Raw genomic sequence first — 15,670 nt, 5'->3', positions numbered from 1 at the left:
CAACCTTGAAAAGGAACATATTAACCAGTGTCTTCTGATAAGCAGATCACTTGCCTCATGTCTTAGAATCCAGTAGGTGGCCCCTTGGCCATGAAATGTGTGGGAGTGGGTTTTCCCTAACTTGACCTTTCTCCTTTCAGTGGGAGGGAACTATTGAAAGGAACAAAGAGCTTATAAATACATTAAGACCTGGAATTCAGTTGCCCAGCCACGACAGTGACAGAGTTTAACAAACTAAGTACTGATCTTATAAATCCCTCTACATTGCCTCACATGCTCCTCTCTAGCCTCCCAGAAAAATATGCTAATATGTGTCCTTAGCACAAGGAAAAGTCTGTTTTTACTCATATCGTGCCATCTTGGTGTGTTTGGGTGACAGTTCAAGAATTGTTTATTTCTTTTCTGTTGGATACATCTTTACAGAAATGTAAAAATGAAGAATTTAGAAAACCAGGGCCTCAGCATTTAATGGTATGGGAAACAATGACATGAGGAGAAAAAAGAAATGGTAGCATTTTAAACAATCTGAGAATAATCAGTGCTGGAAGAAGTGGCAATGTATGCAAAAATTTCTTTCTCTATATAAGTAGTCAAAACATAATTGTTGTAAGTTGTGATCCTGTAATACTATATTGGCTGTGAAAATTCAAAACTAAGGTTTATTATAATTAGAATAAATTAGTTTGAATGTCAGGAGGACTAGATTCTAGTTGAGCCTCTGCCACTAATTAGCTTGACGACAAGTCATATTCTGTCTCTGGAGTACTACCAACTCACGGCCAATCTACAGGATAGCTAAGAAAGAGGCTCTGACTGTTGATGCCCTTTGAACTGTGTAATTCTTTGAATGGAGATCTGTCCGGCCCACTCTAGGAGGTTTCTAAGCGTCCCTGCCCTTTACCTATCTGATTTGTAGCGCCCTCTCCCTCCCCGCAGATGTGACAACCCAAAATGTCTCTAGACCTTGCTCAATGTCCTCTGGAGCAGAGGAGCAAAATCTCCCCAGTTGAGAACCATGGGACTACATGAATTCATGGGGCTAAGCAAGGCTATGTTACCAATGTGCCCCACTGCTTGGACATTCACTGGAAACTTCCTGTTAATCCAGGTGGACTGATTAGTGAATATCATTAACCTCTGTACAGAAGCTAAAAAGGAAAGAGAGAGAGAAACAGAGAGCCACCATATGACAGATTTGATATGTCTGGATTCATATAAAAATTTATTCCTACTAGAGTTCCATGGACAAAATATAGAGATCTAGAGATATGGATAGATAGATAATAGATGATGAAGAGACAGACAGATTACAGACAAATGCATAGAACGATTGATAGATAAAATAATACATACTTGGATGGGTAGACAGATAAGGATTATAAATAGATACATATACATAGATTGTTGGTAGGTAAAATAATTAATGGATAGATAGATCAAAGAAAGAAGATCCATGGGCTACTCAATGTGTCCAGAGACTCACCCATCTTCCAAGCACTGGGACAAGAGCAAACACCCATTGCTGAGTTCCTACTATGAATTTTTTGTACGTTATCTCATTTAACTTTCTCAACAACCCTCAAAAGTAGAAATAACTACCTCTACTCTAAGAAGAGAAAATTGAGGCTCAGAGACTAAACAACCTACAGCTTTTATGAACCTTGTAATGGGAGGAGTCATGGTTTATCTCATTCTCCCTTCTCTCCGATAAGAAACAGTGTCATTGGGACCACCTCAGAGATGTAATTCTTTTAATTTACTCCTGGAATTACCATAGCTTATATTCCTTTCAAATTAAGCCCATTTTTAATTGATGTAAATACAGTTATACTAGTCTTCAACTCACTCTGGATTTTAGGTTGTCAAAGTAGAGAAAGACACACTTTCATTACTTTTTCCTTCCAAGCAAGCCCCTGAAAAGTTGCTAAGAGTAAGAACTCATGAATTAGATGTTCCCCTCTCACCCTCTCCTTCCAACATTTAGTTGGCTAATATACTATGAATAGAAAAATATAAAACAACATAATCAGACAGGAGCAGAGAGCCAGATTATGAGGTGGAGTGGAAAAGCTCTGGTCCTGCAATCAGAAGGAGTTCAGGCTGACCCAACACTCACCAAGTGTGCAGCATGAGATAGGTGCTTTAGCTTTCTGAAACTCAATGTACCCATTGAATGGCTATTAGGAGCCATTTCCCAGGGTTGTTGCAGAAGGTAGACACACTCCCTAGATATTGACCATGAATGAGGAGCATGTGTGTGTGACCCATGGCAAATCCTTGAGCTCTCAGGTTCTCATTTTGTGTTGACTGAACAAAGCTCAACGGTAACCTCTGCCCCAGTCTTAGCCTGACCCTTGGAAACCTCATATTGAGAGGCGATATGTTAGTTATCAGCAGGAGTGTTGTGATAAAATATTATATAAGATAAAAATTCATTTCCTTTTGAAACATGATTCTCAATCAATGGCTAAGGGAGCTTAGTGTGGGGATTGGAATCATGACACTGTGAACTCTAGTCCATAACAATTAAACAACCGCGCCCCACACTTTTGTGTGAACTTCACTCTCCCTTTCTTTCTGCTGAATAATGCTATTTGCATTTCCCAAGTTAGGAAAGTACAACATCAAAATATCTAATCACAGAACAGGTAAGTTGATTCAGTATGATTTCAAAGAATTCTTTACTTTCCAAAGGCTAAACTATTGACTCCCACATTTTAAAATGTAGACATTTAAAAGATTTTGATGTCTATTTATGCAGCCAACAAACATATAAAAAAAGCTCATCATCACTGGTCATTAGAGAAATGCAAATCAAAATCACAATGAGATACCATCTCATGCCAGTTAGAATGGCGATCATTAAAAAGTCAGAAACAACAGATGCTGGAGAGGATGTGGAGAAATAGCAACACTTTTACACTGTTGGTGGGAGTGTAAATTAGTTCAACCATTGTGGAAGACAGTATGGCAATTCCTCAAGGATCTAGAACTAGAAATACTATTTGACCCAGCAATCCCATTACTGGGTATATACCCAAAGGATTATAAATCATTCTACCACAAAGACACATGCACATGTATGTTTACTGCGGCCCTGTTCACAATAGCAAAGACTTGGAACCAACCCAAATGCCCATCAATGATAGACTGGATAAAGAAAATGTGCCACATATACACCATGGAATACTATGCTGCCATAAAAAAGGATGAGTTCATGTCCTTTGCAGGGACATGGATGATGCTGGAAACCATCATTCTCAGTAAGCTATCACAAGAACAGAAAACAAAACACCACATGTTCTCACTCATAAGTGGGAGTTGACCAAGGAGAACACATGGTCACAGGGAGGGTAACATCACACACCGGGACCTATAGTGGGGTGGGGGCCTAGGGAAGGGATAGCATTAGGAGAAATACCTAATATAGATGACGGGTTGAAAGGTGCAGCAAACCAGCATGGCATGTGCATACCTATGTAACAAACCTGCATGTTTTGCACATGTACCCCAGAATTTAAAGTATAAAAAAAAGATTTTGATGTCTAAATTTAAGTCATACATACTTTTGTAGAAGTACATTAGTTGACGGCGGGTGCAGTGGCTCACGCCTGTAATTCCAGCACTTTGGAAGGCTGAGGCAAGTGGATCTCCTGAGGTCAGGTGTTTGAGACCAGCCTGGCCAACATGCTGAAGCCCTGTCTCTACAAAAAATACAAAATTAGCCAGGTGTGGTGGCATGTGCTGGTAATCCAAGCTACTTGGGAGGCTGAGGCAGGAGAATCACTTGAAACTGGGAGGCTAAAGTTGCATGAGCTGAGATTGCACCATAGCACTCTAGCCTGGGAAAAAAACAGTAAAACTCCATCTCAAAAAAAAAAAAAAAAGAAATACATTAGTTGTTAAAGGCAAGTATATTTTTCTTCTAAACTCAACAACCACAAAACTTTGCAAGAAGAATCTTAATGTTTAATCACAGAGCTGGGGGTTTGGAGAGAATATGCAACTGTTCCTAAGTCCTGGCACTGGAACTCCTGCTTTCAATGAGTCCTGTGTCCTTCCATTCACATTCATGATACAATTAGTTGCATCTGTCCTTGCAGCCATTGGTTTTCATTCTCTGATACTCTGCTATGTTCCACCTCCCAAACAGCCTGGGATAGAGCAAGGGCTATCAAACTTCACTGATGAGCCCAGTCAATTTCTCTCTAACCATTTACAACAAGCAGGTGAGCGTGCACACATGCAAACATCCATACACACAATATACAAATAACTGAAACTAACAACTCATGAAACATTACTTACCCTTCAACATGTCATGCTCACTGATATTTTTATTCTTTTCTATTTTATTTTAAAAAGTACTGGGGTTTCACAATCTACTGAAAGATTACCATGCATATTTGAGAAACATTAACATAGAAAATAAGACTCAGTCTTTAGTTTTTAATAGCAGTGAGTCTGCATCCCAGATCCACCACTTAATCTGGGTAAGTTACTTTAAAAACCTCAGTATCCTCAACTGTAAAATGAGAATAGCAACAGCCTTTCACCTTAGGTGATTTTTGTAGGACAAAATGAGAGAAGTTTAGAAGAATGGCCAGTGTATGACTGACGTTGAACAAATGCTAGCTCCTTCCATATCCTGCAAAGTTAATGCAGCAACATCTCTTTTGCCAGGTTATAAAACAAAATGCCCCCCACAGAGTTAAAATATAGAACACCAAAAGAAGCAAGGTATTAGCATTCTCTGTTGAAAGACTTTGGATCTTCTAGCTACAGTAAAACAAGTCTGAAGCCTAATTTCTGGTTTTGATCAAATGCAGTCTCACAGCCAGAGAGCTGAAGAGTGACTTAGCTCCCTGCCGGTCCTCCCTGTCAGTGACATCCTCTGGTTTCACAACCAGTTCATGGGTTCCCAGGGCCTTCACCCAGATGTCTTCCAGGCGTGACTTCATTTTAGTCCTTGGTGTAGATATTCATGTCCATCACCAACCAGAGTGTGACTGTGAACATTGTATTTCTCTGATGTTCGATTTCATTAACTAAAAATTGGAGAAAACAACCATTTAATGAGACTATAAGGAGGGTTAAAGATATAAAATATTGAAAGGGACTAGCATTGAGGAAGGATCATGAGGAAGTTTTCAATAAATATTAGTTCTTGAATTCTTCCCCTTCCATTAACTCCTGTACATGTATTATTACCACATACTCTCACCTCTTAGGCTGCCAAGAAAAGTCACAGGTAAACAATGAAGACTTGAGACTGGTTTGAGGGTGGCCACTGCTGGGTAACAATTTGAGCCAAGAAAACATTCCAGGAACTCCTTCAACCCAGTCATGAAGAAGGCAGGTTCTTCTTCAGCATTGTTTGTGGTTTTCAACCACACATCCTAAAGTACATTTTTGATTCTATCGTTTCAATTATTCATTCATTCATTCAGGCTTAGAGAAACCTCCAGGAGACTGCTATCATGGCAGAGAAGCCCAAGCTCCACTACTCCAATGCACGGGGCAGTATGGAGTCCATTCGGTGGCTCCTGGCTGCAGCTGGAGTAGAGGTAGGTTCTGAGTAAGGTCATCTTAAGTTGGATTTAAAATTGCGTTATCACATACTTTTCCCACAGAAACTATGCAATGATTACTTACTGAAGCATTGTGCCTTAAATAAAAATGGACTGTAATTAAGAAAAAGATGAATAGATTTGACCTAAAAATTGTTAAAATTTCTTCTTATCTAAGAGCATACATATTAAAATACAATTAAGAAACTAATCAAAAAGTGTAGAACTTAAGTGGATTAGAATTTAAACAAACTGTAAAAAATAATTTATGGCATTAGAAACTTGGATATTGACTGAATATTTGATGACATGAAATAATTATTGTTAATATTTCATGTGTGATAATGTACTATGGTTATCTTTAGAACAGTTTATGTGTTTTAGGAAAACACATTGAAGTATTTAAGGATTAATCATATGGATCTGGGATTTCTTTGGAATTATTACAAAAGGAGAAGTAGGTGGGCATAAATATAACTTCACATTGGTTTTGGTTGATAATTATTGATTCTAGGTGAGAAATATAAGGAGAATTTTTATGCTTTTCTGTTTATTTTTATTCATGTTCATAATTTCCACAACAAAAAAATGAAAATACGTAATATTTAAAAATGGCTGTAGTTAGAGGTAAAATGCAAACTATAAATGAGAGGTGTAAGGGAGTGGATTGTAACAAACTACCTATTAAAGATTGACTACATTCACAGCAATTATTTGTTGAGCACTTATTAATTCCAGGTTCTGTACTAGGTCATGGAGATAGACAGTGAACAAGACAGACACAGTCCCTGCCCTGGGGCGGCCTACATGTCTATGAGGATGCAGACAAGTAAACACGTGGTTAAAATGAGGCGTGGAGGCTTCTAGAACACCCAAGCATTCCCCAGTGTTACCAGGTCATCCTCCCAGTGTTTGAGTAGGAAATGCCTGGAGGTGTCTGTGGGACTCCGCTGAGTGCTGCCCTCTAGAGGTGTCACTGAGAAAAACACTTCCCAGTCCAGACCAGAGTCCTTCAGCGACTGCCTGAGGGTTTTCCTGGGAAGTGAGTCATGGACAAACTCAGGAGATCTTGTCCCTCGGGTGGCAGCAGAAAAGGGGGGTTTCAGGTGAGGTGGCGTCCTGTGAAGGGAACTTCTAGCGCGCCCCTTCAGCCTCACAGCGCCGTGTGGACCTGAGCCTCGGAACGGTACTTTGTGCGTTGCTTCACGAAGGCTTGGGACTTTAGCCTCACCCTTTCTCAGTTCTATGAAGAAATAAGCACATAAGAAATCCAAACACTATCATTCTAGGTTGTTTCCTTTGTACAAATGAATACCCTGTTTCACTGTCACGCAGACATCAGCTCTGCAGCTCAGGGATGTGTTCAGAGCCCGGGTAGGAAGAGTTCAGCAGGAGGGAGGGAGGGGCAAGGCTGGGAGGAACCCAGGTTCCCAGGTCTCCATCCAGCCTGACTGAAGGCGGGGGCAGGGCTGACTGCAGACCTTGCTCAGGCTTCTGGGGTCTCAGCGCCCTAAGGCTGATGATCACAACCCAGTCCTCACATCCCACTTGCCAACCCCACCCCACCTTGTCTACCCTCCTTCCTGGACCACCCACCGTTCCTTAGGTTTGTCCTGAACTGGATGCCTTATTAATTGCTGGCACACACCCCCATGACCTCTAGATCCTGGTCCTGTGTGATCATAGATCCACAACAAATTCTGTTCCATGGAGCAAGCCAGAAACCCCCAAATTCCTGATCTTTCACCATAAAGAACTCCATTAAAGTATAATTAGCCACTGGAAACACCGCTACTATTTATTACTTGATGTATGTGGGTCAGGCCCTGTATCATGCATTTTGAAACATTACAAAATTCCATTTAAGAAAATATTATATTCCCATTTTGCAGATTAAGAATCTAAGGCTTGAAGATTTTAAGCAATAATTCCTAGATCACACAGCTATTTTGAGGCAGAGTCAAGATTGGAACCAGATCATAACAACATTGAAATCCAGAAAACCTTGATAACTTTTGCTTAGACTTTTGGTTTGATAGATTCTGCCTATTTAAGTCAACTGCATCATTATGTAATAACTGAATTTCATATCTGTATTAAATACCTGCAACCACTCATAGCTTCTGGTCAGATTGAGACAGCCTTGTTGCTGGCTGCTATTTCCACCAAAGTGACTTGTCTCAGGATGAGGTGGAATTTACTCCAATGTTTAAGTTACTGGATGTAGATCAAGAACTAAGTATAGTTTCAAAATTCTAAACATAACTTATATTTAACGAGCAGTTACTATACACCTGCTACTTTTCTAAGTGCTTTGCATGACCTTGTAATTTAATCTTGATATCAGCCTATACCATAGGTGCCGTAAGTATACCCATTTCATAGATTAGCATACTCAGACACAGAGAGTTTCGGTAACATGTCCAAAGTCAAGAAGACAGTACATGAAAATGGTGATATTGAACCCACAAAACCACATCAGAAACCAGAGGTTTTCATGAAAAATAATGTTAGTGTGGGACTCTAATTCCTTTATTAAATTGAGAATTTTACCCTATTGGGTCCCATGTACTTCAGAAGAGAAAATTATAGTTGCAAGTGTGAAAGCTGTGCAACAGCTGCAACTTATTTCACCCTTAGCAGGGTTCCTGAAAAGTGGGGTGATATAAATTATAGCAGAGGCTCCTTGGTGGCAGAATATTTGATGGCCATTAGCCCATGGCATACCCCACACTGGGGACACACAAGGTTGTGGTCTGATCTCTCCTGGAGACACGGGCTTTACTAAGATATGACAACACCATAACTAGGAGAACTGCTCAGTGCCTTCTTTCCAGTGATGTCCCCTCTCAAAATATGACCTAATCATAGACATTCATCAGAACAGGGTGGCAGTGAACTAAAAGATTGAGCAGCTATGTGCTGTGACCCATGCACTTTTCTCAATGAATTAGGTCTAAACTTCCAAATGGCCATTACCAGCCCCCTCTGTATATCCTGCGAAACTCAGAAATCTTATATTCTCCAAATCATGCACCAGATAGGGGCCATTCAACATCACAAGTCTATAATAGAATTAACTAAGAAGAACCCATTTACTGTTTCTGCTTCCAGTTGGAAGAGAAATTTCTAGAATCTGCAGAAGATTTGGACAAGTTAAGAAATGGTAAGATCAATCTCTAAGTAACTCTGATGAGAGTTTCTAGTAGAAGGTACAGAGGAACGTTGAGCAGCCAGGAATACCTATGTGTGTGGGGGGTGATATTTAGTCACGGTGGAGAGGGAGAAAGTGGTTAAAATGGAAGGGATGTGGCTCCTTGATCAGGTCTGGCAACTCTCTCCAAGCTAAAAGGACCAGACCTCTCAGAGTATTTGTTAGAGGAATGATATCCCGCCCCCGGGGAAAGCCCTTTTTCTGTTTTCATGCTTGGGGGACCGTCAGTGAGCTGTGGTTATCAGCACAGGATCCCATAGAGCCCTCCCCATCCAAGCACACGCAAGAACATGCGCTAGATGAAAGGAGGAAAAATCGACGTGGCCATTGCCTTGAGGTTTTTCTTTCATGGGGGGGCGTGACAAAGTAACACTGTGGCACTATTGCAGGCTTTGAAGAGCAGAAAAGGGGACCCTTATATTAAAAACCTCTCAGAACCTGCCTTAGATGTCGCAAACACCATGAGACTTACCCTGAGAACTTCCCATTTTAAATGGCACCTGTTGCCAGTCCTATTGTAACTTGTCCCAACCTCTTCCTAAAACATCCATGAAGATAAATCAACACAAAAAATACAAGAGTCCTGCTATGTATCTGGAGGGGAAATAAAAACAAAAATGAAGTAACAGGATAAAAAGTAGAAGGAAGCTGCTTAAGAAAAAGAAGAACTACAGGAAACTTTTAAAAAATGTTGTTTGGGCCGGGTATGGTGGCTCACACCTGTAATCCCAGCTCTTCGAGAGGCTGAGGCGGGTGGATCATTTGAGGTCAGGAGTTCGAGACCAGTTTGGCCAACATGATGAGATCACGTCTCTACTAAAAATACAAAAATTAGCTGGGTATGTTGGCACATGCCTGTAATCCCAGCTACTCAGGAGGCTGAGGTAGGAGAATTGCTTGAACCCAGGAGGCAGAGGTTACAGTGAGCTGAGATCGTCCCACTGCACTCCAGCCTGGGTGACAGAGTGAGACTCTGTCTCAAAAAACAAAACAAGGAAAAAAGTTGTTTCAAGTGAAAACTTAACAGGCAATAATTTCTTTTTCATTTCACAAATTTAGTCATTTCCATAACCATTTTTTTCATCCCAAAAGGGTGGGTTTCATAGACACTTCATACTCCTTTTTTTTTCTTCTTTCTAAGATGGGAGTTTGCTGTTCCAGCAAGTACCAATGGTTGAGATTGACGGGATGAAGCTGGTGCAGACCAGAGCCATTCTTAACTACATTGCCAGCAAATACAACCTTTATGGGAAAGACATGAAGGAGAGAGCCCTGTATGGTATATTTTCTGTTCTTCCATCCACAGAGAACACAGAGTGATTTAAGTCCTTCTTTGAGTGGGTGGGACCATGGCAGGGCATCATGACCAGCAGCAGGCTGGGTCTTGAGGATGCACGCTGAGGTCCAGTATTGCAGAGTCCCATGGAGATGAGGGAACAGTGAACATGGGGAGGGTTCAGGCAAGGGTGATTCTAAAAGAGGATGCAGTCCATGGATCCTGCAACCTGACTGAGGTTTCCAGACACTCATAAACCCTATGAACTGAGGAGGATGGGGAATCATGATTCAGGTACTCAGAACTTCAGAGGCTAGACTCCAGCCAACAGCGTAGGGCAAGGCATAGAATGTCTGAGAGTCTGTAGATGAAGGCCTGGGGAGGGAAGGCTGTAAACAAGCTGAATCTCAGGTCCCAGTAATTCCAAGAATCATGACCAGGAACCTAAATTACCAACCAATTATATGGGCCAGAACACTTGAGCAGGGCTAGTAGAGGCTGGTGCCCAGGATGCTGGGGTTACCTTGACACATGGATAGAAGGCTGAAACAGCCAGATTGATTCAATACCAACAAAGCCAAGGGGTCTCCTCTCTGTTGTGATGAGACTGCATAATTACAAATAAATCCTGAATGGAACTGTTGGCAGCTCCACAAAAACTTTAACATAGTATTACCAATGACCCAGCAGTTGCTCTAGTAGGCATATCCCCAAACAATCAAAAATACATCCACACTAAATTTTTTACAGAAATGAACAATGCAAATAACAATATTCATAGTATTCAAAAAGTGGAAACAACCCAAATATCCATCAATCAATAAATGGAGGAGAAAAAATGCCTTAGCCATGCAATGGAAAGATATTTGGTCATGAAAAGGAATGAAGTACCAATGCATGCTACAAGATGGTTAAACAATAAAGACATGTTACATAAAATACACAAGACACAGAAGGCCAAGTATTATAGGATTCTTTTTGTATGAAATGTCCAGATATTCAAATCCATAGAGGTAGCAAGTAGATTAGTGGTTGCCTGGAGGTAAAGGAGTGGGGCTTGGAGATAAATGAAGAATACCGCTAATGGTACAGATGTCCTTATCAGGGTGATAAGAATAATTCTGGAATTAGACTGTGATGATTTTTACAGAATTCTGTGAATCCACCAAAAACCACTCAATAGTGTAATTTAACAGGTTGCAATTACAGTACGTGAACATACGTCAATAAAGGTCTTGTTTTAAAAAGTATTGTGAAACTCTAGTTTGACACAAAAGAAGAAAAGTTTGCACTGGTTGTAATTGTATAGAGAATTTCACCGGGGAAGGGGATTCTTAGGTGGGGTCTCAGGAAAGGCACACATGGCTAGAGTTAGGCAACAGCACATGGAGAGGGCTGTGGAAATGTGTTTCATGGGTGTAATTGGAAGAACTGCTAATATGGGGCACAGGAGCCCTGGGAGCTGTAAAATGATGAGAGAGGACAAGAAATATGGCTGAGATGGCTGTGCCAGGGATTCTTTTAGGATTACTTAGAGGGCAGCTCTTTGGCCATTTGACTCACACTAAGTTCATGCACAGAACAAGCCACAATTGAGATGATAAATCCTGGCACAGCATCAGTGGGTATTGGCAGTGATTCCACCAATTTCTCTCATGACTGTGACCACCGATGCTCTTTTTCCTGTATTAGGTCATGTGTGTAACAAAATTTTGAGATCTATCTACCTTGATAGGTTGTTTTAGGAAATAAATGTTAATATACCTGTAAAAATCAGAACATAATGACTATATACCTGTAAAACTCAGAGCATAATGACTAGCGTATAAAAGGCACTAACTGGAGGTGAATTACTTTGCCACCATCTGACCCTCTATTTTCTTAGGTTTTTATAAACCTATAAAATCTAAGGCAAAAGGCATTTGATGGTTTGGTTGTTTTTGTCTTTCAGGATTGATATGTACACAGAAGGTATAGTAGATTTGACTGAAATGATCCTTCTTCTGCTCATATGTCAACCAGAGGAAAGAGATGCCAAGACTGCCTTGGTCAAAGAGAAAATAAAAAATCGCTACTTCCCTGCCTTTGAAAAAGTAAGTGAAGCTGTTCAATGTTTAGGGGAACTGAGTTTAGACACCAGTAGAAAAATAGTGGCTGGGCATTCCTGGGGCCACTGACCTTCACTTTCAGTGAGACTTCATGAACACCAAGGCAGCACTCTGACTCTCAAGGCCTCTTATGCAAATAGACTTGGAGGAACAATTGTACCACTTATACCCAAGCTATGATTTTCCAGTAAAATTTTAATTTACAGACCCCAACATTAAATTCTCTGTTCAACAAAATTTCATATTCATAAGTAGAACGTGGGCTGTGGAGGGCTCTGGATCACACTGGAGGTTGCTGTTGAGTCTATGGAACCCCATGGACTTTGATGGAAGAAGAACATGATGAAAGTGATCCATCAGAAAATATTCTGGCATCCTGTGTAGGAAGACAGGAAACCAATTGCCCAACCAGAGAATATTGCAGTGTTTCAGGGATCAGTATTTTTTAAAAGGAGAGTGACTGTGGGATGCAGAGGAAGATTCTTTAAAATGCATTTTATAGTAAGTTGCAGACATCAGTGCAGTCCACCCCTAAACACTTCAGCTTGCAAATTATAACAGAGTGCCGGTTAGGAACCAGAGTCGATGCTGTAAGAAACATGATGAATTCAGGTTCACCCAGGTTTACTTCAGAACCCAGGGAGATAGAGCAGGGAATGAGGAGGGCAGACAAGGACAAATGAGGACTCTGAAATAGTCTCCTTCTAGGGGAAAAGTGTTGTCATGAAGGTGGAGTCACTGCCCAAGGGAGATTGGAGAGGGAGGGAGCAGAATGTAGAGCCACATCCTGAATGTGAGGGCTCCACGCTGTAGGGCCTGGGGCAGACAGAACACATGGAGGCAGGTGCTAAGTCCTTGGCGCATGTGGAAGAAGCAAGCTGGGTGGGTTGTGTAGACACCACAGTGATGTGGATGAGAAGAGAAAATGGTAGCCTGGCCTCCAACCAAGCAGTGAGCAGAGTTATAGTTCTTACTCTCTCATTCATTCAGATAATGTGGAGAAAGCTTGGGATTTCTGCACCCATGCAATAAGGCAACAGAGGTGGGAAAAGTCAGGGTGGAGAGGCTCTGAAAGAAGCAGGGGTCCCAGCCTGGGTGTGCATGTGTTCCTGATCTGATTCCTCCAATTCTCCAGGTCTTAAAGAGCCACAGACAAGACTACCTTGTTGGCAACAAGCTGAGCTGGGCTGACATTCACCTGGTGGAACTTTTCTACTACGTGGAAGAGCTTGACTCGAGTCTTATCTCCAGCTTCCCTCTGCTGAAGGTGACCCATTTCACAGCCCAGAGAGACAGCCCCACATCTCTTATATTGGGATCTCATATCTGGGCCCCGGGACTGACCATGTTTTGACCCCACCCTTCTCCAGCCCTTCAGTGCCCCCAAGGTCTCCAAAATGAGCTTCCAGGCTCCAATTTTGAAGAATGAAAACACTTTTGTTCTGGAAAGGAAATTTGTGGTGCATGCTAACCCATGAAGAGTATTTTGCCTTTTATCATGGAAAGGACCCAGTGCCCAGCAGCTCTTCCCATCCCTCTATTTCAATGTGGTTTCTGTTCCTGAGTTCTCTGTGATGTCCTTTATCCCACATGTGCCCTTGTCTTCCCGCATTGAATTGGTCTGAGCAGAGCCCTTTCCATCTGGTTTCCTCCCTGGGCTCTGGCTCCTTTTGTCAGACATTGTGGTCCTCTCTGCACAGCTCTCCCAGCACTCTGCCCCTGACACTGTATCTGTCACTGAGAAAAGGTGGTCCCATGGTTTGTGTTTAATGTTTTCTATAACATTTTCCTTTCCAACTCATTTCCCCATAGTTTTACTTCTGCTTAGAGACTGATCTGTGTTGATATCTCACAGGCATATTGATTTTTCTTGTCTTATACAAGAGCCACAAATCTACAGGATTAATATGTAAGGAGAAAGATAGGGATGACTGAACTGATTAAAACTTCAAGACATCTTTGGGGAAAATAAAGTGAGCTACATGTTATTCCTCTTATCTTCATTTCTCACTGGGTGTCTGTTTCTGCCTCCATGCTGGTACTCATGGAGGGGACTCGCTTGGTCTTTGGCATGAGGGGCTCACATTCCCTGGGTCATCTTAATGATGGTGGCCGGCCTTGGCTTCACTCTGAGGCTGTGCTTTGTGGATTACAGGCCCTGAAAACCAGAATCAGCAACCTGCCCACGGTGAAGAAGTTTCTGCAGCCTGGCAGCCAGAGAAAGCCTCCCATGGATGAGAAATCTTTAGAAGAAGCAAGGAAGATTTTCAGGTTTTAATAAAGCAGCTATGGAGGCCAAGAACATGCCAGACCAATATTCTACAGTTTGCAACAATGAAGTGCTTTACCTAAGTGTGGATTGTGCCTCTTGTAAAGCTAATAAACTCTTTCCAATTACATGCTAATTAAATAATAAATAACTCTTATCTGTCAACTTAGCTAAAATTGATTTGTTTTCATTAGTATCTGATATGAATTCAGATTTCTAATCTCCTCCTAACCTACCACTTTCTTGGAATTAAAAATTTGGTAAAAAAGAAGAAACTATAGATTATGTGGTTTGTTTGACTTTTCCAAGAATTGTCCTGTAACATTTGTCATACAATCTATTAAAATGTCAATGTAGAAATGCACTCTGACATTCTCAGGTATGCACAGGAGAAGAGTTACCATCCTGGGTAATGGCATAAAGACATTTTCTTCTTTTCCTGGACAGTCATTTTATTTCTGATAAAAGCGTTCTTCCTTATCCATTTACAAAACAACGATTCTGTGTGCTGTGGATTCCTCAGTTTTCTAGGAGGTGAGGAAATATTGAAGAGCAAACAGACCCACCCTCTGCTCTCAGGCCACCCTGTTGTCCCTTACAGTGCGTGTGCTCCTGGCTCATCCTCACTCTGCTCCTTAAGGCTCTGTGGGGGCCACCGTCATGAACATTCCCTCAGTTCCCTCAGTGCCACTCAGGCCTGGGCTGCCAAGATACAGATGGTATATGTGAATTACGTATAAATAACTACTATATGCAAAATCATTTTTCCGTGGTGTGTCATTGTGCCAGAGTGCTTAGATGAGGAGTGCTTTCTAGCTCCACCCACATACTGGGCCTATAATGTTAATCTCCCCTAGGACACCTGGGCTTCTGCAATTTCAGCTCTCCTGTTAGAATGAGCTTCCCCACAACTGGCAGAGGTGGTTGAGGGAGCAGACAGACACAGGCTTCCTACCTGCAGCTTCACTTTGCTCTAGTCTCTTCTCCACTTACACCCAGCGTAGCTTTTCTAAAATACAAATTGGAAAAAAAAATCACAGAATTCTGCAGTGAGTCCTGACTGCATATATAAGGTATCCTCACACCCGTCCTCACTCCTTGATCTCCAGCCCAATCCACCCTCTGAGCATGGTGGGGCCTCTTGCCTTCCTGCCTAGATGCATTTGCTAGCCCTGCCTGGCAAGCTCCTTCCCCGTGGACACACTTAACACTACCTCATTGCTTCCCAGGAAC

General features: G+C 41.6%; 1 protein-coding gene across 2 annotated transcripts, besides 5 other annotated features; it reads left to right on the top strand.

Annotated features, from left to right (window-relative positions):
* Positions 26–195: an enhancer, noted in NCBI's record as "experimental_92149 CRE fragment used in MPRA reporter constructs". NCBI's record gives its function as "activates a minimal promoter by MPRAs in K562 erythroleukemia cells, with activity observed for both the introgressed and non-introgressed 6:52710982 or rs78882075 variant alleles {active_cell/tissue: K562}" and the evidence as "EXISTENCE:reporter gene assay evidence [ECO:0000049][PMID:34662402]".
* On the top strand, positions 49–14,602 carry GSTA5 (glutathione S-transferase alpha 5). 2 transcript variants are annotated; one of them, XM_054328422.1, is made up of 7 exons: positions 49–238; positions 5,451–5,567; positions 8,685–8,736; positions 9,926–10,058; positions 12,012–12,153; positions 13,304–13,435; positions 14,324–14,602. In XM_054328422.1, exons 2-7 carry the CDS (start codon positions 5,481–5,483, stop codon positions 14,444–14,446), a joined length of 669 nt encoding a protein of 222 aa, XP_054184397.1. In that variant the 5' UTR covers positions 49–238; positions 5,451–5,480; the 3' UTR covers positions 14,447–14,602. The 2 variants fall into 2 exon arrangements, with proteins under 2 accessions (XP_054184397.1, NP_714543.1); NM_153699.3 differs by lacking the exon at positions 49–238 and having other exon boundaries at positions 5,481–5,567; positions 14,324–14,446.
* Position 110: a transcriptional cis regulatory region, noted in NCBI's record as "Neanderthal adaptively introgressed variant 6:52710982 (GRCh37/hg19 assembly coordinates) or rs78882075 in the experimental_92149 CRE". NCBI's record gives its function as "modulates activity of the experimental_92149 enhancer by MPRAs in K562 erythroleukemia cells {active_cell/tissue: K562}" and the evidence as "EXISTENCE:reporter gene assay evidence [ECO:0000049][PMID:34662402]".
* Positions 2,453–2,622: an enhancer, noted in NCBI's record as "experimental_92148 CRE fragment used in MPRA reporter constructs". NCBI's record gives its function as "activates a minimal promoter by MPRAs in K562 erythroleukemia cells, with activity observed for the introgressed 6:52708555 variant allele {active_cell/tissue: K562}" and the evidence as "EXISTENCE:reporter gene assay evidence [ECO:0000049][PMID:34662402]".
* Positions 11,362–11,531: an enhancer, noted in NCBI's record as "experimental_92147 CRE fragment used in MPRA reporter constructs". NCBI's record gives its function as "activates a minimal promoter by MPRAs in K562 erythroleukemia cells, with activity observed for both the introgressed and non-introgressed 6:52699646 variant alleles {active_cell/tissue: K562}" and the evidence as "EXISTENCE:reporter gene assay evidence [ECO:0000049][PMID:34662402]".
* Positions 15,473–15,642: an enhancer, noted in NCBI's record as "experimental_92146 CRE fragment used in MPRA reporter constructs". NCBI's record gives its function as "activates a minimal promoter by MPRAs in K562 erythroleukemia cells, with activity observed for both the introgressed and non-introgressed 6:52695535 variant alleles {active_cell/tissue: K562}" and the evidence as "EXISTENCE:reporter gene assay evidence [ECO:0000049][PMID:34662402]".

Source organism: Homo sapiens, chromosome 6 (genome assembly GCF_000001405.40).
Source record: "Homo sapiens chromosome 6, GRCh38.p14 Primary Assembly".
NCBI lineage: Eukaryota > Metazoa > Chordata > Mammalia > Primates > Hominidae > Homo > Homo sapiens.
The sequence above is the reverse complement of the archived record's forward strand: the minus strand, read 5'-3'. Positions and strand labels throughout refer to the sequence as shown.

Coding starts and splice junctions, on each gene's coding strand:
- GSTA5 (XM_054328422.1), top strand. CDS start 5,481: ATGGCAGAGAAGCCCAAGCTCCACTACTCCAATGCACGGGGCAGTATG. Junction 8,737..9,925: donor TTTGGACAAGTTAAGAAATG/GTAAGATCAATC, acceptor CTTCTTTCTAAG/ATGGGAGTTTGCTGTTCCAG. Junction 13,436..14,323: donor CCAGCTTCCCTCTGCTGAAG/GTGACCCATTTC, acceptor TGTGGATTACAG/GCCCTGAAAACCAGAATCAG.